The following is a 25,061-nucleotide window of genomic DNA, read 5'->3' on the forward strand; positions in this document are numbered from 1 at the left end:
CCCAAACAATCTGTGTTTAATGTTTTTGGTGTCCCACTGCTTTGCAAGCAGACATACCACTTGCAAATGTGCCAGCCCTTTGTGCAAACACCCAAAAGGCTACATCAGATCCAAAAGCTCTGGCTCACAAGGGGGCCAGCAGGTGGAGAGCAGATGAATCAGCCATGAGTGTGTGCCTTTCGGCCTGCTAAGAAGGAAGACAGTGGCATAAAGAGAGTATTATGGTTCCAGGCACAACTTCAGTCTGTCCAAGAGGCTCTATCGTTAACGGAGAATACAGAGATTACATTCAGTTACCCGAATTCTACAAGCTTTCTGTAATGCTCAAAAGGTTTAAGTGCACTTATCTGTCATCCCTTCACTTTCCTTTTTGAAATAAATCCCTTTGTAATAACAAATCAGACTTTCCTTCTTCTCTTTATGCAGGTGAGCAATGCATGGGTGCTTTTATATTTAGCTGGTAGGGAAGAATGACAACAGGTAGCAGAAGCAGACTGTAGATTATTATTTGCAATTAACAATAGGAGATATAGCTCCCTTCTTACCTTCCAATTCATTTCTCTATGCTAATAGAAAATAATTAAACTGCACAGCAATTTAAAGTATCAGGTTGGGTTCTGAATGAATATCTTTAAGGTTCATGATAGCAATTAATAGATTCCTTTTTAATGCCAGTTGTTTAGATCTTGATAATCAACCTGTTGGGTTCTTCTGTTTTGTAATTCATGTAGTTAGTCAACCAAAATGATACTATTTAACCTCTTTTCACCCATGGCAATCTTTACCGTAGATGAAGTCACTGAGCCACGCACATTCTAACTTGAAATTACCATGAGTGACTCTTTAACTTGAAGTTACTCACCTATGTTCCTGGCAGGCCAGATTTGTGAGCAAAAAATTCACTGGAAGTAACATAAAGCCATTGTGGGCACCAGCTGTCCCAGTAGGAGCAATGAGGGAGGGATATTAATAATGGCAAAACATAGTTGTTTGCCTGGTCACAGAAAATGGCCCACAGCACAGGTTGAGTGAGTCACAGCTGATCAAAAAGTGCCTCAAAATAGGAAAATGTCTAAGCATGTTAAAAATGCAACAACAGCTTCAGGTAGGTGAAAAACAATAGGCAAGCTATACTATTTATACATCATCTACTATTTACTCCACTAATGCAAACACATTTTTTACTACTGGCAAACAGAGAAGAAGAAAGTTAACTACATACAGGTCTAATGATGCTAGCCATACTGAATATAGGAGAAAACTGTGAAGTTATTTGCTTCACTAAAAGCCAAACTGGGTTTTTACACATTAGGTAAAGTCAAACTTCATGATTAAATCCAAGGAGAGGTAACTTTCCTTGATATCCCCTCAGGCCTAGAGTGAACCAGCAGAAAACCCAGAAGTGCAGAAGGGATGTCCTTTTTACAGCATCTATCCACCTTTGCCTATAGTGATACCACTTTTGCAATTTTAGAAACTTTCTGGATAGTTGCTTCATACTCAGAGTCACCCTAGAAATTTCAATAGTAGTAAATATTAAACTTCTAAAAATTAGTAGCATGCAAGCTCCCAGTTTTAATTAAACTCATACTGTTAATGCAGATTAGGCATATATGTTTATATCATACACAAACTGCACTTCTGATTTACATGTATTAATCTTAGAGTAATAGCAAAGTATAAGGGAAAAGAACACAAGCTTGATGACCTAAAGGGATTTTACATTCAGATCCAGCATTGCCTGAGAGACTTTTGACAGAAAATTTAACCTCTCTGGGCCTCTGTTTCTTATGTAAAAATGAAGACAATTATATTACAACTTTCAAGGATTATGAGATAAAAGAGATTGTAAGATTAGTGGGTTAATGACTGAAGAAATTACAGTTCTTGGCACATACAGTTCTTGGCACACAGTGTATATAGATATGTGTGTGTGTATATATGTATATATAAAATGTATATGGCATATATTCAATATATGTTGCTGTCTTATCTCTTTTTTCCCTAATTCATATGTTAATGTAAATGGTTCAATTTTAGTTTATTTAAAGCCATGAGCACCTTACATTTGACCAACCTCCATGCAGTTGAAAATCCATGTATAACTTCTGATTTCTTAAACCTTAAATACTAATAGCCTATTGGTGACCAGAAGTTTTACTGATAACATAAACAGTCAATTAACACATATTGTATTTTTTTATGTATTATATACTATATTCTTACATGCTAGAGAAAGGAAAACATTATTAGGAAAATCATAAGGAAGAGAAAATATGTTTACTATTCATTAAGTGGAAGTGGATTATCATAAGTTTTCATTCTCATCATCTTCATCATGATGAGTAGGCTGAGGAGAAGGAGAAAGAAGAGGGGTTGGTCTTGATGTGGCAGGGATGGCAGAGGCAGAAGAGGTGGAAGAGGCTGAAGGGGAGGCAGGAGAGGCAGGCGCACACAGTTTAACTTTTATTGAAAAAAATCCATGTGTAAATGAATTCCTGTGCTTCAAACCCATTTCGGTCAAGTGTCAATTTTACTTAAATTTGAAGCACTAGGAGGTCTCTGATTTTCTTAAAACCTAAATCTAAATTTTCTTTCAAAGTTTTTATTTAGTTAGCAATCATATTTATACTGTACTATAGAAGATATTTATGATGGATACGGGAATGAATCAGAATTGCCCGCAAAGGTCAATCAAAAGAAGACATAAGGCCATTTTGTGTATAGCCAGCAAATACGGAATTACAGAAATCAACAGAAACTTATCTATTATTTTGTTTATCCAAGGAGATAAAGGGATCCAGGAAGTTTTCTACTGGCTCACCATGAGCCCTATGTTATTCTAGAATGATTATAGATTCAAGATTCTGGATTTTAGAATGACAACATTGCTTCTTGCAATAACCATTAGGTTTCAACTAGAAGACTCAAAGACTTCAATTGGAAGAGAAGCCTGATCCCAGTTCTAGCTCTGTAGGTCTACAGTGAGAGTTATATTTCCTCTGCAGCAGTTCATTCCAGTGTAAGGTTTGCCTGAAAACATTCTTCCTGAAACCAGGGCTGGGCCATACATGTGGTCTCTGCTCACTCTGACAGGAGAAAGCAAACAGCCCAGACTTGATTGGGTCTGAACATGGCCACCCTCTGTGACTCTGCTGTATTTCATAAGGCAAAAAGTATATGAGTTCTGCCTTTCTAGAAATCATCTTTATATGTGCTTTTCTATTCAGTCATGGATTATAAATAGATTCTCTGATTAGTTTCCCAAGTGAAAAGTATATAGAAAAGAACAGGATTTACTTCTGAATGTGAAAGTACATTATTTTATTCTAACAACTAAATCAGTAGAGCAGCAAGTTATCCCTAGGAGATCAGAAGGAGAGCAAATTCCTAAATAATAAGGTCATGTAGTAAAAATGGAAGTATGAGGACAAAATGTAAGTGCAATGGGAAATTCTACTTTCTTCAATATAGTAATAAAATAGCTTACAATGCCAGGAAAATATTATAAAACCATTAGAAAAGTCTACAAGTTATGACAAGATGGCTTAAAGTGGAAAAAAATAGGGCCTTCACCTATGCTGTTCTTTTAATATATTGACTATAGGTACCACATGTTTTGATACAGAATAACCAACCATATTAGCCACAAAATGCCAGATTTTTACTTTATTTTCTCCTGGATAAATCAGGAAAAAATACCTTTGTGTTGGGAAAAAATATTTGTGCTTTTATTCCCCCTAAGTTTCTGGACATAAATATGACCTGGCATTTTGTCTATTAGCCAGAAAACCAAAACATCCCATGTTCTTGTTTTGTTTCATGTATGAAATTTGAACTGCAAAGGGTATAATATAATCATATAAGTAGATGTATAAATGGGTTATTCAGATAAACTTTATTTTCTTTTAAAACAACCTTTTTTTCTTTTTTCTTTTTTTTTTTTGAGATGGAGTCTCGGGCACTGTTGCCCGAGCTGGAATACAGTGGCGCAATCTCGGCTCACTGCAACATCTGCCTCCCAGGTTCAAGCAATTCTCCTGCCTCAGCCTCCCGAGTAGCTCGGACTACAGGCATATGCCACCATGCCCAGCTAATTTTTGTATTTTTAGTAGAGATGGGGTTTCACCATGTTGGCCAGGCTTATCTTGAACGCCTGACCTTGTGATCCACCCGCCTCAGCCTCCCGAAGTGCTGAGATTACAGGCATGAGCCACTGCACCCAGCCTAAAACAACGTTTAAGGTTCATCTAGATTGGGGTGTGTGTTAGGGGAATGGGATAAGAGAAAATAATCTCAACAATCCTAAAATCATTCTATTGTTAAAATTAATTTTCCTTTTCAGAGTAGTCTCATGCACATTATCTTATTTCAGATGCCCAACACCCAGATGTGGCAGGTAGGGAAGTTTCATAATAACCTCATATAACAGATAGGAAAACCAAGATGGGAACATGTGAAAGGAAATGAGGGAGGTCAGGGAATGACTGACAACAACCACGTCAGGGAGAAAGCTCTGACTCCGGGGCCTTCTCCTCCCCCTCAGTACATGAAAAATGTCACAACTTTCTCCCCCAGAAATAGAAGTTATCCCAAACATTCTCTACAAATGTTACTTCAGAAGCCAGCAAATAAAATGACTTTCAGGAACCACAGCTTGGCAAATAGATGGACAGGAAGAAACAGTGTCAAGTCACTGTTAGCACAAAATTGCATCTCTACATTGGCACGGAGCTGGTAATTGACAGGCAGTATAGCAGGAGTTACTCTTCAGCTCTGTCATCTGCAAAATGGGAATGGTAGTACTTACCCCGCTCGCCTCACCAGGCTGCTGTGACAACTGACTGTGATAACAAGAAAAAACCTCCATCTTCATCCCCAGAGCTTGATATCAAAACAACTAAGCCAGAAAGAAGACCTTTGGTCCTTACCTGATGGGACACTCATTATAACAGGAGAAATAATAATGTCTTTTACAAAGCTACAGACACAGCTTATTTGTGATAAGAAAACAGTTTTGTTTTTTAGTTTTTTTATTGGCATTAATTTACTCAGAATATCTACTAAGTGCACTAATAACTTCATAATATTAAAAAAGGTAAAATTCAGAATTGAATAAAAATGGAAGGGTGAAATGTGCTTGATCACTCAGTTAAACCATGACAGTCTTATATGTGTACTGTGAGTTTAAAGCAATAGTCTCAAAAGCATGAAACCACCTAGCTAACTTCCATACACCTCTATTCTTGGTTGTATTGAGTTTGTTAATTTTCTCTCTGGATTTTTTCACAGCTAGAATGGTCTTCCTAAACACAACAACAAAAACTACTTGAAAAATAATGTTTAACATTTCTCTCAGTGATATCATTATGGTCAAACTATTGCAAATGAAATTTAATATTTTAATTATATAATAAGCACTGATTTAGGTATGGGGTTATATTATTATAAGCAATAAATTGTGACTGATAGGTATATAGATAATATGTTCTAGGCCTTTCAAACTTTGTATCATGACCCATGAGTGGTTAGAAGCTTTATTTGTATAGAATACGACTGAATAAATACATCAGAGTTACTTACATATTATGAAGAAAGTATTACTTTCATGAAACTTTTGTTTCAATTATGTATATATGTTTGTGTACATGTATTTGCTTGGCCATTTACAAAACTAATTTCTTACTATGGGTCATTGTAAAAAAATAACTGTTTAAGAAACACTATTTAGGGTATACATTTCACAGGTTGTTTTTCTTTTAAGATTGTTCCGAGTTTATTTCCATTTTCTCAGTAATTAAATTAGCCAGCTAATTTCAATATTGGTAGATAAATGGTTGCTATGATTTGAAAAACTAGTTTGAAACATTGGGATGTTAGAATTAATGGTGTCTTTCAAATCATTGAGTCCAGTGTACTCTGTTCACAGGTAACAGAGGTCCTGAGTAGTGAAGTCCCCCCTACCCAAGGTTTGTTAATGTCTGTACTAGATTCAATTTATGCACCAGGTCAGGTAAACTCTAGCTGCCACCGTAGCCCAAAAAAACCAACTAGATAAGTATAGCTCACCATGCCTGCACACTGTCCAAACTGGATTCTCAGAGGATCTGGCTTTCCCAGAAGCTGCCTGGACACTCCAGGCAGCACAATCTGGAAATGCATGGGATTTTGACCATTGAGAGACAGGAAAAGGCATGGAGGCAACAGATGGATTGCTTGCCTTCCTTCTCTGCACCAAGGCAGAGTGGTTCTGAAATGCAACCTTTTTGGTGCCATTCCACATGATCAAGTGACCACTTTTGTTTTGTGCTGAAGCTATGGCTGTTTTAGTAACACACCACCTTGTATTGCTCTCCTATCTTTCTTGCTTCAATTCATTTTTCTCCTCATTCTTGCTTCCCTGGAACTGCATGGCCAACCCCCTTCCCTCCACAACAAAGTATTAGTATACAAGCCATTGATTCATGCTGTGCTTTCTAGGGAGCCTAGGCTAAGACAGCATCCTACATACAAATGCAAATTCCACTGTGTATTAACAACTTACATAATGAGAAAATAGAGGTTTCAGGTATTATCTATACATGTCATTGCCTTATGTACTTTAATCTCAAGAACATTTTTAGGTTGAGTGCAAATTTTCTATCTTTTGGTCTTAAACAAGGGTTAGGATTTATTACAGATATCTTACCCATGCTCTAGCTTCGTTAAGCTAGTTGGAATAGTCAGGATAGGCTAGATTATGAAGCAGTAACGACCAACTTCCAAATTTCAGTGGCCTAAAATAATAAAGATTTATTTCTTGCTCACACTGTACATCCACTGTAAGTCAGCAAGGGGCTCTGCTCATTGTAGTAACTCAGGGACTAGGGTTGACAGACAACTGCTATCTTGAAAGTTGTACATGGTCATGCCAGAGAGGGAGAAGGAATGGTGAAGCACATACTGCTTCTTAAAGCTCCTGCCTAGAAGTGACATGGGTCACCTTCACTCACATTTGGTTGACCACAGCTAATCACATAGCCACGCCAAATTTCAAGTGGGTGGGGGAGTGTAATTCAACTATACACCTGGCAGGTAAGAGAAACAAAACCTCTGTAAAAAGTCCAAAGAGCTACCACAAATAGTATTTGGGGTAAGTTATCTCCACTACAGAAACATTTTGCTCTTGATGTCTAATCCATGGATTGGCTGTGATTTCAAATGGCCTGCAGAAAATATTGAAAAATTTGGAAATTTATTTTAAAGGCCAAATGAACATACCAAATTTAACACAGGCATCAAGGCAGAGTGAGAAGAAGGACAGAGTGGGAGATCTGGGCTCAAAGCCTGGTTATACTGCTTACTAGTGTCATGGCCTCAGGTAATCTCTTAATGACTCCCAGTCTGGTTCCCACACCTATAAAAGGGGAAGCAACAATTCCCACCTAGTAGGTTTTGTGTAAGGATGAGAAATAATGGGTGATACTGTTTCATGCTGTGACTGGCATACAGTAGGCACCTGATAAAAGGCAGCTGGTACTGATGGGTGTTTACCTGGGACATTGCCTCTCCTGTAAAGAAGTATCCAAGTATATCATTATTTCTTTTTGCCATATTTGTATACTTTACTAGTATAGATGCACTACTTTGTAAAGATAATTTTTTGAATTAAATTTGCAATAAATCAAAGCTGTAGAAGATGACAGATTTAGAACTCACTAAAAATGCCCTTTAACGAAGATGTTTTTTAAAGTTCTAGACTCAGGTTCAAAAAATGTCAACTACACAAGAGTCAAAAGAGGGATAAGTCTCTAACTTACCTAAAGTTCATGTGAATTAATCTGAGGGATTCTGGTTAACTGTAAGCTCACCCTGGATCAGTGACACACAGCTGCCTCTCAAGCCCTAGGTAGACTTAGCTACTTTAATTAACACCTAGAATCCAGATGAAGGGGTGTAACCAATGCTGTACATTTTAACTCGTATAGCCAGACCACGTACTTACTGCAGTGCTCAGGGTGCCACCTTCTAAACCTCTACTGACAAATGAAAGGGGCAGGCAGGACGGTGAGGCTGCCGAAGGCAGGACAGATGAGGAATGCCTAAAAAAACTGGAGACATTTAGGCTGGAAGAGACTGTTTCAGGAAACGTGATACCTATCCTCCAATACCTGAAGGGCTGTCATGCAGAATAGATCTTTCTCTGTGCCACCCTAGAGAACAGGAGGAGGACGAAGAGGTAAGAATTAGCCCTTGACTACTGGTGAGCTCATGGCCAAGCAGAAGCTGGCTGCTGACCTCTGGGAATACACCAGTGATTTGGATTTCTAATGTGTTTTATTCCCCAACCTTACAAATCTATCAGCGTTTGGGTGTGCAGTACTTGTTCTAAATAGGCATTCTCTCCTTGCCTTTTCAATAAAGACATTATAGAAATACTAACGTAATGTGCAGGAATTCATTTACACTGCTTATGCTACAGAAATCTTGATTTAGTAGATATCCCTTCAGGTTACAATTTCTGCTGCTGGCTGCAATATAATAAAGATGCTGACAGTTGTGAATTACTGAGTTCTACAAATTATCAACTGCAATGGTAAATAGGAGAGAAATAAAAGGTAAAGTAGGTGGCTAGGTCACCAGGGGTGATGCCTGCCTTTCTGAATAATGTAAGACCTCCTGAAAATGATGGCAAATAGATGCCCCTTTCTGAGGAATAAGAGAAAGTATATTGGGCTCTAAGTTTCAGGACATAGAGGTTAATGGAAAATGGGAACGGCTTTGTTTTATGAGCCCCACTGAAGATGGATGACTGGGGAGATGGGCAGGAGGAATTATTTCTTATCTAGAAGAAACTGGGGTTAAGAGATGAGGCAATGGCGTGTGAACGCTGCATGAGACAATTATTAGTGGAGAGCTTTGACTAAAGGTGAATGGCCTGCTGGGAGATGGGAGACATCTGATAGGTAAAGTCAGTCTGGCCCTGGGGCCATGACCTCATTAATAGTTAAACAACAGCACTGAAAATTAATGACCCACACCTGACTGCCCAGTGAAACTGCACTCCTCTTCACAACTGTCCAGAAATCCTCACACACATTCCAGCAGGGAGTCTGGCTGCCAGTGGTTACAGCAATCCCTCTAGGAATTAGCCGGGTTAAATGAGTAGTGGCAAGACAGATGAAGAAATAGACTTTATCCGGCCTCCACGGTCCAATGTGGGACGGAAGAAGCATGGAATTTCTAAGAAGTACAGACTGGCCATATTGAAGGTATTTAGAAAGGAAAGACCATGAACTGGTCCTCTACCACAATTGGACATGTGGACCGAATCTGAGTGAGGAAGGCTGGGCACCAGAGTGACCTCTACCCCACCTGCCATATGGCTGTCTGACAAAAGCGATTCGTCAAGCATCCTGGTTGCCAAATATGCTGGCTTTAAAATGCCATGTGAAGCAGAGAATATTTTAAAAGAACAGTCTAAACAACCTCATAATTTTAAGTATGAATACTTTACGCCAGACACAAGATTACCTAAGGTGTTCACACCACTGTTAAGGTCTGAGGAAACAAAGACTATTCCCCCGGGTCTCCAGGTTGTCTGCTTTGTGCACAGATTTTTGAAAATAGAGTACAATAAATTCCATGCACCACAGCTCACGGCAGCTAAAGACGGAGCTCCTGAGATGTACCTTTTTTATTTATTGGCGTTGGAGAAGGGAGGTGGTAATGTTTCCTGTATTGGATGCCTTATACTTTGCAGACCTTTGGGGACTCATCTCTGCTGAATTCTTTAACAGCTGAGATGACAGGGATGTCCATTACCCAAATGGACAGCACTTTCTATTGATCAGGGCTCCACTTAGCGATCTCATTTGTCATCCTATTGTCTCTCACCTTCACTGCTCTCGATATGAAGCGGGGGGATCTTTTTTTCAGGTGTGAGAGAGTTAATCTACATTCCAAGCACAACTGAGCAATTAAAACATGTAATGAGCAGAACACTTTAGTGCTTCACCTATAGAGAAGTCTGAATTGGGCTTCTTTCTATCTCCCCCATACAGGCCACAAGAAGCTAAAGAGGTAATCCACTCCTGAAAAAGCCCAGAAGAATAACTATAATACTTTTCAAACCTTAGCTGTGTCAAGTGCTTGCTTTGCTTCCATTTCTGCTTTCAGAAACTCATTTTAAAAGATAAAAAAGAATATTACAGGAAGAAAGCCCAAATCCCAACAAAACAAAGGAAGGTCTACCTAATCTTGCCAGTTAATCATTTGGGAAAAGTCCTGCTCTGCATCTAATTAGATCATTAGATCCATGCAGTTAAACATCCATCAAGAATTCTCCTATAAAAGGTATGTTTTATGTAGTTCCCATATACGGATTAAATTGGGCATGTGGAAAGCAATGTTGATCCATTTAATGGACTCCCCCAAAATATATATCAGCATCTTTGTCACGGAGCTAGACGGCTTCTTTATCCTTTCACCAAAATGCAGTAACAAAAATAATTAAACATCTCTCAGACCTGAACTGCACAGTCATTAGACAATAGTCAATGACTGGAACTGCCGTGAGAGCCTGAACCACACTTTACCTTGGCTTTTCTAGCCATTTCTATTCGGAAAGCTTTCCATATCTGGATTTCCCCTGAGAACTATTTTATGATGCTATAAAGACTGTTAACCAGAGGCAGGATCTCCCCAGCACCTGAGCCACACACAGAAATATCAAATAACATTTAATTGCTGGATGACACTGTGTGTCTGAGCTTGAATTCTGATCTCCAAATATTATCCATGCAACTGTCTGCAGAGATAAGGTTGTTATGATAACAGCAGATAAAACCAATTAAACCTAAGAGCAGCAAACACTTCAAGATCTTGACTTTCACCGTAAATAGAGTTTGAGGATGTATAAACTATAAGGGGTCTGATACTATCTTCCTTCTGTAAGGAACATTACTTGAGGCTTCTTTCCTTTTGTGTATATGGGGGACTGCTTCCATGTAAACACATGAGCTAAGAGAAAGCAACACATGCAAACTGCATGAGCTAGTAATTAGTTTTATGTCTAGTCCTGGAAAGCAAATGACAATAAAGAATGTAAATCTAGGTCATCTTTAAATACATAATACTAGTTGTGGTTGCAATAATAGACTCAAACATGCTATTCTAAATACACTCAGCACAATTTTTCCCTTTTCACATTTCAGAGGCTTTTCTTCTTTTTAGCTGACAACATTCTACTAGTGTCTCTAGCTGTTTGTACACATATTATGTCTGCTTTGTGATATGTTTTGCAGCTCCAAAGCCAAAACACCAGGCAGAAGTGCCAAACCTTAACCTCAAGTTACTTCTGGTAGACCACATATAAGGAGAACAGCACTGAATTGGGGTGAAATGAACAGTGTATGTGAGCTCCCCAGAAAGCTTATCAAAATCTGACAGCTAAACAGGATACTAGCAAATTTATCAGCCAAATGATGTTCTAAAGGAAAACAAAATTGATACAAAGGAAAATAGTATATCTTCAAAGGGAGCCTGATTCTATAAAGCCTGAATTTCTTTCATGAAAAATAAATAAATAAAAGCATAATGAAAGTTTGCCATGAAGGAAAATATTCCATTTTCTTTTTAAAAGTGACTTTCTATATTTTTGGTGTGAAAAATATGATGTACCTTCCTCCACGTATGCCTTTTTGATGAAAAGTGGAAAAAAGTCTTAGTAGCTATTTCATTTAGCTATGTCTCACACCTGGGGTATAAATAGAGTATAATAACCTGTATTGTAAAGAGAGGAGGGTAATGGCAGAGTGGCATTCAACAGCGGTGGGTACCTAGGTAGGTAGACAGAGGACTGCAGACTTAGAAAGGAAAAATAAATGTCACATACACTAGGTGAACAATGACTGTTTGTAGATTTGGGAGAAAAGAGGTTGGAGGCCTAATGACCCCCACCTAACAAATAATACAGTATGTGGTTTAAAAAGTAGGCAATTTGCCAGTAGTAGCAGATGATAAATAATACTGAAGAACTTCCAAATAATCTTCCTCCAATATATGGGCCTGATTACACCTTTACTAAGACTATGATGATCTAAAGAACAATGCAGAAAAACATAGAGTCAAAAATAAAACAAAAATTTTCAAAGAATGGAAAATAAAACTGATAAGATTAATCAAATGATAAAGTTTGAAAAGAAAAATATATTTACCTTTATTATATGACATTATTTTTATAGAAAACAGAAACTATATATTCTTAAATTTAAAATGGAATATAGAGCCCTCTAACTGCAGCATAAATAATTTTTATTAACTATAAGAAGTTTCTAGATTTAGAAAAGTCAAAGGCAAATAATGTAGTGTCTGGTTCATTTTCTTACTCGATGACAGTTTTTTCTCGAGGTCGTTATGGGCAAAATTAATTTTAATTAATGTTAGTCATGAAGATCATCACTATCATTACTCCCAGTTAATATTGATGGAACATCAATACTGTGTGCAGGGTTTAGAGGAAATACTAACATGGTTTGTTTTATAAATAGCCAGAATTCCTCACTCATTGTCTAGTCTACACTTGTCTATCTGGAAAGCTCATTCTTCCCTTACCCTTTTAAGGCACAGTGCACCCTCTCTTCCCTGCTGATTCCCTGGAATCCTCTATATCCCTCTCCCCACTAGCCAAGCACTCATCAGTGGCAGGAACCACTGCTTGAGCCAGTTTGCATACTTTTATCACCACGTACCTGACTGATATGAGGGAGGCATTCACTGAACTTCTAATAAGACTCAGATGACACCATACAATTACTCCTTGTTCTATTTCTTTTCAACATTCTCACTGCCAGAGAAGCAGCTAAGTTTAATAATAAGACATTAAATGGTGGCACATGGAAATCTTCAAATAATCTGCTTGTTTCATACCATTCACCTGTAGCAACAGGCCGACCCTCTACACAGAGAAGAAATCCTAATTTAATAGGGACAGAGCCCAGGCATCTGATATTTTTTCTTTAGCAACTCAGGTGATTAACATATAACTAGGGCAGAAAATTACTGACATAAAGAATTAAAACTTCTTTCAAATCCTTCATTTCCTACCATAAGTCACTCAACTGTATCTTTATACTACTGGTGGTCACATACATTGTTATTAGAATTATTCTATACTTTTGTTTCTTATATTGCATGCCTAGCACACATAGGATACTGTTTATAATCTTATTTCTAAAGGATGGTCAACATACCACCCTTAAAATAAAGATTGATGAATTCTATGTCCAAATTCTTAAGGCAGAAGGTATTTATTTAAAATATATCAAACAGGAGCTCAAAGTCTTGCAATCAGCCTGCCAACATGGCAATCAAAAAATATGTTTTGGCACTGACAATAATTCAAAACACAATTTACAGTTTGGAGACACAGGGAACACACGGCACCCTCAGGAAACTTATACTCAATAGGATAAGAAGTAGATTTTTCGGCCGGGTGCAGTGGGTCAGGCCTGTAATCCCAGCACTTTGGGAGGCCAAGGTGGGCAGATCATGAGGTCAGGAGTTTGAGACCATCCTGACTAATATGGTGAAACCCTGTCTCTACTAACAATATAAAAATTAGCTGGGTGTGGTGGCGGCTGCCTGTAATCCTGGCTACTTGGGAGGCTGAGGCAGGAGAATGGCTTGAACCCAGGAGGCGGAGGTTGCAGTGAGCCGACATCGTGCCACTGCACTCCAGCCTGGCAACAGAGCAAGACTCCGCCTCAAAGAAAAAAAAAAAAAATTGAAGTAGATTTCTCAAAACTAATCAACAATTAGCAACAACAATTTCTTTCATTAGTATATTGGTTTATAAGCTAAAAACATTTGTCTAGACTGGGTGTGGTGGCTCATACCTGTAATCTCAACACTTTGGGAGGCCGAGGTGGGTGGATCACTTGAGGTCAGGAGTTTGAGATCAGCCTGACCAACATGGTGAAACCCTGCCTCTACTAAAAATACAAAATTAGCCAGGTGTGGTGGCAGGTCAAGGTGGGCAGATCACGAGGTCAGGAGTTTGAGACCATCCTGACTAATATAGTGAAACCCTGTCTCTACTAACAATATAAAAATTAGCTGGGTGTGGTGGCGGCTGCCTGTAATCCCAGCTACTTGGGAAGCTGAGGCAGGAAAATCCCTTGAACACAGGAGCCAGGAGTTGCAGTGAGCTGAGATCGTACCATTGCACTCCTGCCTGGGCCACAAGAGCGAAACTCCTTCTCAAAAACAAAAACAAAAACACTTGTCCATTCATAATCTTATTTAATCTTCAGGATGATTCCATGAGAGATCATGAACATTTTACTGATGACAAAAGTAAGGTTCAAAAAGGTAGAGTGCTTTTTTTAGCTCACACAGTTATTAGGTAACAGAGCCATGCAAACCAAATTTCTGAATGTTTTACCCTACATCCAGGGACAAACATCACGCTAATTACTGTGCAGTATTCAAAAGAATTAAACTATGGTCGTGAGACCTCAGAGGAGGTTGTAAGCTAGTTATGGAAAGAAGCCAGATACACACAAATGATTAGCACATAATACACTGGAGTATTGGCAAATATTAAATGATGGAGGTGAGTCAGCTGTCCTCCAGGGCTGAAGAAAAGGGGTATATTGAGATTAGAATGGTGGGGAAGGCTATTTTATAGGGTGGACCTTCGACTGAGTCTTAAAAGATTGATAAAGCCATTAAGCAGGAAGAGGGGAAGCAGAAGCTCGATGTATAATGTGTCTTGTTATAGTCAGTCTGGAAATGTCAGGCTAAGAATAATTCCACAAAGGGTGCATCTCCAATTTTCATTTAGTACGTAGTTTGAGGCCAAGAGGAGTTCACTACAGCTGAGTTTACTCAACATAGGGAAGCACCTGGATTCTTCTCTCAGATTTGTCCATCCAAATTCATTTTCTTATAGGAAAAATAACAATTTAATTACTGAGGTACTTACTGATGTTTACTGAGTACTTACTGAGCCTCTATTATGTGCAAAGTACTATGCTTGCCATTCTGACAAGTACAAAGCACTGTTTATGCTCTTGAATCTCACTGGGCACAGACACAAAAATTTAGATGCCCAAATTGAATATTCCATTACTGAGGAACATAAGAATGGTCTGAGCAGTAAGTACAATGAATGTACAGACAGGAAGTGGGATTTAGATGAGCTGGATACTGACATGGTAGTCTTGGCCACTTAATAGCACAAGCAAAGCTGACAAGGGGGGATGAGTAAAATGTATTCAGTAAACTCATCTGACAGTTTGTGTAGTATCTACTCTGTGGTAGGGTGGTGTAAGCCATTGGAGATACAAATTTCACCAGGAATGTAGAGCAGGCATAGAAGATTCAAGAAGAGATAAAGTGGTTACTCCACGCTATGTTCGTAATTTTGTATTCCATTTGTAAAGTCCGAATTCAGCTGCAATGATGTCATGTGAACATCTGGGTCCTGGGTGTAGGGGTTGGAGGAGAATGTGTACCTTTCTAAGCAGTGGTTCCTTTGAGGCATTCAGCTTTTCTCTTTTGTCAAGGCTGCCTTGCTTTGATATGGTTTCTGTATTTCCGGCTTATACAATTAACAACTGCACACATGGGAACAAAAGCGACTGTCACAACATTCACAGCTTGTGAGGCATAAGACACAGAGTATGCACTGGTACACTAATGAAAAGGCAGACTTTAAAATCCCATTCATACCCCAGAAAGTTCACAGCACACTGACATGTCCTTGGGAGCTGCCTGGAAACACTGGGTTCTTTGAATGTGGTCCTGATCATTTTCTCAGAAAGATAATCATGCCCTACATGCCTGGACTATTTAAGGCCACATGTGCTAATTTAATTTACGATGCTAAAAAGAGCTGCACCATTTGCGAAGGCAGTGGAATGCAAAGGGCTGCTCCGAGCCCTGTACACACAAGGGATCCCCCTGATCCTCTGACACTGGGAAAGAGAGAGCAATGGAAAATACTAGCTGTGGCATGGCTGTGGGTAATAGTGCTTAATCCATGACCACTACAAGCATGGAGATATGCTTGGAAGGGAAGTGAGATTTAAGCAGGGGAAGGAGAATCACTGACTTGGAAAACTGTCTCAAAAAAAAGAAAAAGTCTTGCTCTTTTGCCCAGGCTGAAGTGCAGTGGGGTGATCTCGGCTCACTGCAACCTCTGCCTCCCGGGTTCTAGCAACTCTCCTGTCTCAGCCTCCCAAGTAGCTGGGACTTCAGGCACATGCCACCATGCCCGGCTAATTTTTGTATTTTTAGTAGAGACGGGGTTTCACCGTGTTGGCCAGGCTGGTCTCAAACTCCTGACCTCATGATCCACCCACCTCAGCCTCCCAAAGTGCTGGGATTACAGGCTATAGGCACAAGCCACAGCGCCCGGCCAGAAAACTCTTAAATGGATACAAACCAGTCAGCATACCATTGGTGACTCTATGGTTATTTAACTCTATGGTTAATTAAAAGGAGAAAGTAGGAGAGGGAAATCATGGAAAGAATCATTCACGCCACAGCTAGAGGTCAGAACAGGCTTTCGAATGTGGCTTTTGAAGTCACACCTTAGCTGGTGGCTTCCTGCCTCAAACTACATGTAGGGATCCATAAGGTGCAACATCTGCCTTTCACACAGAAATGCTCATCAGCTTTTCCTTAGCCATGGACTATTTGTTCTAAAGGATTCTAAGAGGGTGAAGGAATGCTAACTCCTTAGACAGATGATCTGACAGATGGACTCAAGGGAGGCAAGGCTCTATCCTGGGGGTGAAGAGGGGGAGGGGGCAAGAGTCAAAAAGCAAACAAGGAAAACACAAAGGGCATAACATTCTCAAGCTTTATGAACATACATAATTATGCCCATAACTAAAATACATAGTCAAGACAGAGGAAGCACAAAATAGTTATTCTAATGTATAATCTAAAACCAGATTGAGAATGCATGACAAAACCTGTTTATATAAGTTTGCTACGGCTGTAAAAGAATACAATATAAAAAGAATCCCATTTATTCTTGCACATATTTAAAAAAGGAAAAAAGTCTCATTGAAATGAAAATTATGTCACCGAACAAAAGCTGATTATCTGCTAACTTTCTGCCCTAATTTTATGAAAACAGTATGGCAAAAAATATGAGCAGATTGAAGAAATAATGTAATTGTATAATACATATGAAAATGTTCCCCCAATCAATGAGGTAATCAAAGATATAGAAAGTCAATCACTTTTGCTATAAATTATTAAAGCTAATGAAAAGATCACTCAATACTCTCAGATGCTTTAGGAGTAAAAATTTGTAAGAACTTATCAAAAGCATTATTCAATATACTTATACTTTAAAGATCTTAAAAATGTTCACAGATTTTGAGTGAGAAAGCCTAATTCTGGGAATCTACCCTAAGGAACTCATTAGAATATGAATAAACATTTCTGTTTAGAAATTTTAATCAAGAAAAAAAATTAAGGCTGGGTGCAGTGGCCCATGCCTGTAATCCAGCACTTTGGGAGGCAGAGGCGGGTGGATCAGGAGTTCGAGACCAGCCTGGCCAACATGGTGAAGCCCTGTCTCTACTAAAAGTACAAAAATTAGCCGGGCATGGTGGCGTGGGCCTGTAATCCCAGCTACTCGGGAGGCTGAGGCAGGAGAATCACTGGAACCCAGGAAGCAGAGGATGCAGTGAGCCAAGATTGTGCCACTACACTCCAGCCTGGGAAACACAGCAAGACTCTATCTCAAAAAAAGAAGGAAGAAAGAAAGAAAAAGAAAAAAATTAACTTTTATAAAGATTTCAATGGGATGTAAAAGTAATTATAATAAGTGATGAAAATTAATTATTAATATAATTACATAATTATATTCACGGTATGATTATAGCAAGGTAGAAAAATCAAACAACAAATGAAAACTTTCATAAGTATACAGACAAAATACTGAAAGTTAATTTATCAGAATGCCAATAGCAATTATCTATGTGTTCTTATTTTACTTTTAACTCATTAGAATTTTACAAATATGTTACACATGATAAATGTTATAATCAGAAAAATGTAATCGAAGCCTAACTCTAGCAATAGCAATAAAAATCACCACAAAGTTACTTCATGAATTATTTAGGAAGAAATAACATAAAATAAATTAGATTAGCACTGATATAGTCAGTTTTCTCTAGTATAACATTGACCTGAAACTTGTGTTGGTTACAGATTGCACTGAAAGAGCCAGGTGGTTTTGTCTAGCAGGCAACTTCTGTGTATGCACACACACAAATCCCAGATTGGGACAGACACACCTCAACTTCAAGCTCAGTAAACTGAAATGAGGAAAAAAAATTTCTTTTGAAGTAGCCCAAAGCTTAACTTATAGATTTTATACTTGATAAGAGGATAGGGAAGAAATTAGAGCCATCCTTTGGGAACTTGACTCAGTCACATGTGGGAAATTTTCCTGGTTGATCTGTAGAAATAGGCCAGCCACCATTTTAATTATTCTCTCTGTTCTACCATCTTTAAACATCTAAATTATTTTTGTATTGTAAATGTTTGGCAAACAGACTACAGTTTTATTTTTATATCTGTGTTGTTGAAGAATAAAAGTGAACATCCTTCAAAGTCACAAGTTCTGAAGCAAATGATATAGAAAAAAAATTTAACACTGAAAATTCTGAAAAATCAACTTTCCCAAAACAAATCACGACATTTTGTTAAGATCTGATTATATTTAACTCTTCTATTTCCCATATGCTGAAAGAGTTCATATGAGACAATGGGGCCACACTTTCAGGGGGAAAATAATATGTCTTCTTAAGTCTTTCTAATTTTAAAGTTCTCAGGATCATAATATTGTTTAAAAAAAGTCAAAATCTTGAAAAATAAGAAACAAGAGCCTCCTGCTTCCCAAGCTGTACTGAAAGGAAACTGTCAAAGAATAAAAAGTCAACTCTGCTAAGAGTTCCATTTCTCTGGTCCTATAGGCACAGTGAGAATTTCCTGTGGAAAAGACAAGTACAGCTGGTGTCCAATTAGTAAAAGATGGTGATGAAAGGATATAGTTATTCAGGGTCTGTTCTTTGAAAATGATAATGACCTCTGATTTCTAAGTTCCATAAGTAGAGTCTGCCGCCTGCATGCAGGCTGCTCATAAACTTCCCACTTTCCTTTTTCTGTCTGTGTTGTTGTGGTATAAGGGGGGGGTGCGGGGAGGGGGTAGGTGCTGGAGGTACAGAAGGTCATGCCTTCTCTGCCGGCAAATATGATTAATGTGTGTACAGGGAGGAGAAAAACGCCACTCACCTGGCTATCAGCCAGCCTGACTCATGCCTCTGGGCATCTTAGAACACCAAATATCCAGCAACTCTGGCTGGGGTCTAGAGAGATGTCTATTAGCTTTCACAATGTCTGGGTTAGGAAGGTGCTTCTAATCTTGTTTGTAATAAATATTAGTTCAATTGTTAGAAGTGTTTTTAATCACCTAAAAGGAAGTAAACAGGCTTGCCTCACAACCTCGACAGGCAGTGTATGTGTGACTTGTTCTTTCTATCCGGAATCACTCGGTTCAAATGCTCAGAGGGAAGAAAGATGGTCATAAAATAAAAGTGTTATATTAAAAATAAATAAATAAATAAATAAAAAGTGTTGACCTCACCCAGGCCCATTTACCGCACTATTTACACTATTGCCACACAGCCTGGCAGCACCAGGAACCTGTGTTCCCAAGAAATGGAAGAGGCCAGCAGGGAAGCACCCATGGGTCTGCTCCAAGCCCTTCCTGGGCAGGGCTTCCCGGCAGAGTTACACAACAGCTGATACATCTGTGCACACTCCCGGAGCCTCCACTCCGACAGGAGCTAAATTCATCCATCAGTGAGAAAACAAAGTAGAAGGGAAAAAAAGCTGGGGACTCCAGGTTAAAAAACAACCACAAAAGATTTTCAAAGCAACTTCTTCAAAGGCCCTTTTATATTTATTTTAAGGAGACATTTCAATTTAAGTGACGTTGTCAATCATTTTCTTTTTCAAATATGACAATGCTATTTTACCCCTACTTCTTTCTCATGGCTGGATGGAAATGAAGGGGAAAGTTATCTTCCTTACCCAAAAAATCACACAAAGAACATCTTGGCAAGGGCAAATAACTTAAATGTTTTGTTTTCAGTGTTCTTAATTTAGCTATTTTCCATTAACTTACTATTGTCATAAAAAAGTGCTCTGATTAAATAAACTTTATATACAGCATACCAAATACTTTTCTGAAGTTATCGTTTGGGAATACAGCAGACTAAAAGAAAGGAAGAGCATGGGCTGCTGCTCACAAAGTGGTGAACATGCCAAAGTATAATTTAAAAAAAAAACCCTTTTTTCATAGGAATGAAAACCATTTCAGAAACCATTAAGCCAAAATGTAGGCTACAACCATAACTTTTATATCCTAATTATTAGCCTTGGTGAAATGATCGTGTGTATAACATTTAATATGCTGTAAAATGGGATTTCAAATACCGAACCTATAAGCATCTCTTACATTCCATAGATTCCGAAGATTAAAACCAAAATCAAAAGGTGCAGAGCGGCAGCTCTGCCTCCCTAACTCCGTGAGGGGACAGGAAATCAGGGTGTAGTGTGTTCTGGGCAGTCCAGGTATTTGAAAGAGAAGCAGCTTGTCAGGTGGGCCCTGGAGGGAAGCCCATTATATCTGTGGGGGTCCTGACATTTGGGGTAATCTAAACCTTGTTACTTGCGAATCGCCCCTGGTGGGAGGGAGATTTAGAATGGATGCCTCCTTACCCAAGCAATTAGATCATTTAGGAAACAGAGAAAATGGGCAATAAGGATCTCCCTCCTAGAGAGCACTTGCTGGTGTTCAATCAGATAGTTCTGACAACAGAAGATGTGGCATTTGCTGAACAAAACAGTAAATGCTGGGGCTCAGCCCCACACAGGGCTTTGAAAATCTCTCAACGCGTAGTGCACAGAGCATCACAAAGCTATCACCTAGCATCCATAGTGTCCTTGAACACCTGAGGACCAGGCAGAACAAGGATGCATTTTTTTTTGTGAGTAACCTCTGGGAGTACCAAATGCAAGGGCTTCTTACAGACCAGGAGCAAGGTTGTTCTTGAAGAGAGGTTGTGTTCTGTGAATGATACAAAACTCTGAACTTCAAATTACACAAAAGTAGCACTTGGAAAAAGCAAATGATGAATCCTTGTAAGTTCTAGAAATTATCTTCAGAGCCAACATAAACACTTTGAAGGAATAAGAGCAATTCAGGCGCTGGTCCTGCAGAATTAACCACTCCCTCCTCAGTGTTCTTGGGATATTCCTCAGTTATGGCACTCGTCACGTCACCCCATACTAGAATTATTTCTTTACTTGCCAAACTCCCTGAGTGCCTGGAGAACACAGAATGTCTTATTCCAATCACAACCCAAATATTTAGCACAATGCTTGGCATATTTTAATTGCTATTTAAATATAAGCTGAAAAAAATTAAGTAACTTTCTCAGATATGTGATAAACAAACTCCAAAAAACTACCATCATCTCTGATCATTCTTTAACTCCCACAATGTCTACACTGTCATTTTAGTTATCACTGTCTACATCCCCATCCTTGAGGCTGATTTGAAGCCATGTGACTTGTAAAAAATCCACTGATGACAAACATAACCGACAACATCTAAAAGGTGAATGACAAGCAAAAGCACATGATGTCTACCGTCTAAAGCCCTGTCTATATCTCAGCTGAGGAAATAAAAGTCACACATCGAACCTTTACTTGCCTTAAAGATGTGTGTGAAAGCCACATCTTTCACAAACATTACCTGCCTGTCACGGTATCAGGGCTTGGCCGAAGGCCTTAGTGTTGGTTCAGTAATATCGGCTGTAAGCCAGATGTTTCCAGAGCTATGGGCCACATTTTCAAAAACACATGCAGTATTTCTAATGATCTTATATGTTGGGTATATTGAGTATGAAATTGGTTTTCTACCAATCTGATTAAAAAGGAATCACCCGCAGGAAAATATTTCCTGAGGACTGCAGGAGTGAAACAGAGGCCAAAGAAGCACAATGAAAACACTGCAGTTCTACCTGGGTTTTAGCAAGTGAGCCCTAACCCTGTTTCATGAAGTAAGCTACCTGTTTCTATACTTGCATCCATTCATTAATTAAGGATGAGGATGTATTTATTTTTCCAGATGCCCTTACAGGATGATGTGGCTCCTAGATGGTTAATTACTTAAGCCAAGGTCAAGAACCTGCTATGGGAAAGCCACTTGGAGCTCCTCGGCAACTTGTGTTTAGCTCTTCAATCTGCTGGCATCAAAGGGAAATTTTCAACAGCACACAAATGCAAGGGAGTTTTGTTGGCAAGAAGGGCCTCTGATGGCTCTGTAATCAACTCGGCTTCAACAGGCCTTTTGCACAGACCAAAAGCAACTCAAACTTTTGGAAAGCCATTCGTTTTTTTCCTAATCGAAACACTGTCTCTTGTGTCCTAATGTCCTGTTGGAAGTGATTTCTATGAACTAAGAGAAAATTTTGTCTGTAGCAGTTTGAAAACAGAGCAAATGACACTTCTGCAAGCCTGACATTAGTGTTTTGTTTTTAATTGAAATCCAACATCAAATAACATGCCTGCAATCAGAAGAGGAAGAGTGGACCTTTGGAAAAATGGGGTTTCAGTGGATTTCACTGCCCAGAGAGATGGGGGCTGTTTTCCATTTCCCTTAAGCGATATCAAAAGTTGTATTTTTTCAAATACAGAAGTGAGAAGCAGAAAAAGGTAGCTTTCCTTCTCTTCCTGAAGTATAGAAAAGAGCTAGTAGACAAGTCTCAAAAGATAACACAATTTGTAGGGGCCGCCCTCCTAGCACTGGTGCGGCTGCTCTGCTCATCCTCACAAATCAATCTGGTCATCTCCAGCACATCTGCTCAGGTGCTGACAAATGATGAATTCCACCTCAGAATCCATAAGCAGAAAGAGGCTGGCTGATAAACAGCTATGAGCGGAAATGTATGCACCTTTCATAAGCAAGACAAATCACTCATTCTCACCAAATGCTTCCAACAGGAACACTAATTCTGTATTTATTTGCACAGCATATGTACTGCGTCCGAAGCAGTGCATTAAAAAAGATCTCAGGCAGCCAATTGCTTTGATTACTTTATTCATCGTAGTATTACAAGGGCTCAATGGCAGAGCAATGAAATAGGAAGCTAGTGAAGACTGAAACACCTCGTCAATGGCTTGTCAGAGTTGAAGGTTTTTCTGGTGCGTAAAACACACACACACACACACACACACACACACACACACTCTCACCCCTGGTGTAGGAAAGAATTTTTTTTTTAAATAAAATACTGTGGCCATGCATCTTAAATTTGCCATATGCCTTTCCTGTCAACCAGCAGTTATTTTTATTAATAACTCCAAGAACATATCATGGAATTCTTTTTTGTTTTGAGATCCGGTCATGTGACTCCTTCAACACCAGGGAACACTGGGTAAATTGTAATGTTCTAACATGCCAATGAATGGTCTCTTTTAGAGCCAAGTTGGTGATGAATTGATATTTGCTAAGGCCTAAGCAAGCACAGGGCACTATATATATTCCTTCTTCTGTGCTCTCTGCAATGATGGATGGAAGTAAGGAGCAGAAAAGAAGTCACACAGACAAGCTCAAACTGACAACCAAGCAACCACCAGTGGACTGTTTCAATCAAGCTGCAAAAGAAGTAGCTTTTTGTATTACTTACTGTAGCTTCATTCGCCTACTGTACACATGGATCATGGATACACTGTACCATTGGCCTGTCTGAAAATTGGAATGCAGTAGAAATAGCAGAAAAGATACAACTTCCTTCGGGCCCCTAGAGGAAGGTCTTTTAAGCAAGGCATTTTCCCATAGATGCCAGTACGGGAAATTCATGCTCCCATCTTCATGAGAGATCTGACTTTTGAGAGGAAAATCAAGATGGGTTTGCTGTTTTCCTTTAATAACACTCATACCTCCCAACAACAGAAACCTCTGGGACCACAAGACAGGTGTGATGGTGTCACATAGTATCCTCCAAGCTTTGTTCTAACAACAAAGCTCTCTTGGTTAGGAATTTCTGGTTTACAGTTTAAAATGTTAGCGTAAGACACTGATGTTCCAAAAAAAAAAAAAATACAAGCCTACTTCATGAAACCAATGCCTGTTGTGCAAATAAATACAGAGTTAGTGTTTACCCCTGGCAGGGCATTTTTCTTTGAGTTGGCTGCAGAGCATTAAAAAAGACATTAAGTAGATTATACATTTACATGAAGTCCCTTGTTATTTTTAACCATAAAAAAAAAGCATTTTTCTTTTTGATGATATATATACTAATTGTGAATGATTACAAGAGGTGACTTTGTAAGACAGTGTAATTGTGTTTTTTTCCCCCACAGAAATTTCACGGTAATGTAACTTTGGTAAAATAGCTTAACTAAAAATCTGTTATTAAAATAAGTGCTTTTGGCTTAAATTGAATCACTATTTTTTGAACAAATAAACAAAAATCATACCCTAAAATAGCATTCAATTTCAGAGAAGGTGGTTTATTCTTTATGTAGTAAGCTCAAATTCCTAAGAAGGTCTATATAAAATTCTGTAAACCCTGTCTAAGTTAAAAATAATTGTGAAGAATAAACTACCTTTAGAAAGATTCTAGAAGAAGCCATAAAAATCAAGTGATTTGAACCTTCATTTTCCAATGACGACAATGAGGTCCAGAGAGGCAAACTAACCTACTCAAGGAAGCACATCTAACATAACTGAAACTCAACTCAAAATTAAACTTCAGAATCCAATTCATTATTTCAGTTGAGGTGGAGTGAGGAAAGACTACCTACACTTTTTAAAAATTTTTTTGAAGTTTAGAACCAACATAAATTTTATTAAACAATGGACTTTTAAAACAATCTCTCCCCCTTTCACACCAGAACAGTATGGAAAAATTGGATATCACATATGCAATGCTACATTAATGGTCAAAATATTTTTTTCCTGAAATTTTGCTTCA

At 38.7% G+C, this 25,061-nt stretch overlaps 1 protein-coding gene across 2 annotated transcripts in view; it reads right to left on the minus strand.

Annotated features, from left to right (window-relative positions):
- Window positions 1–25,061, minus strand: part of EFNA5 (ephrin A5) — a 294,044-nt gene that overhangs the window by 146,463 nt on the left and 122,520 nt on the right. The gene's annotated exons all lie outside the window — the stretch shown is intronic.

This window comes from Homo sapiens, chromosome 5 (genome assembly GCF_000001405.40).
Source record: "Homo sapiens chromosome 5, GRCh38.p14 Primary Assembly".
Classification (NCBI taxonomy): Eukaryota; Metazoa; Chordata; class Mammalia; order Primates; family Hominidae; genus Homo; species Homo sapiens.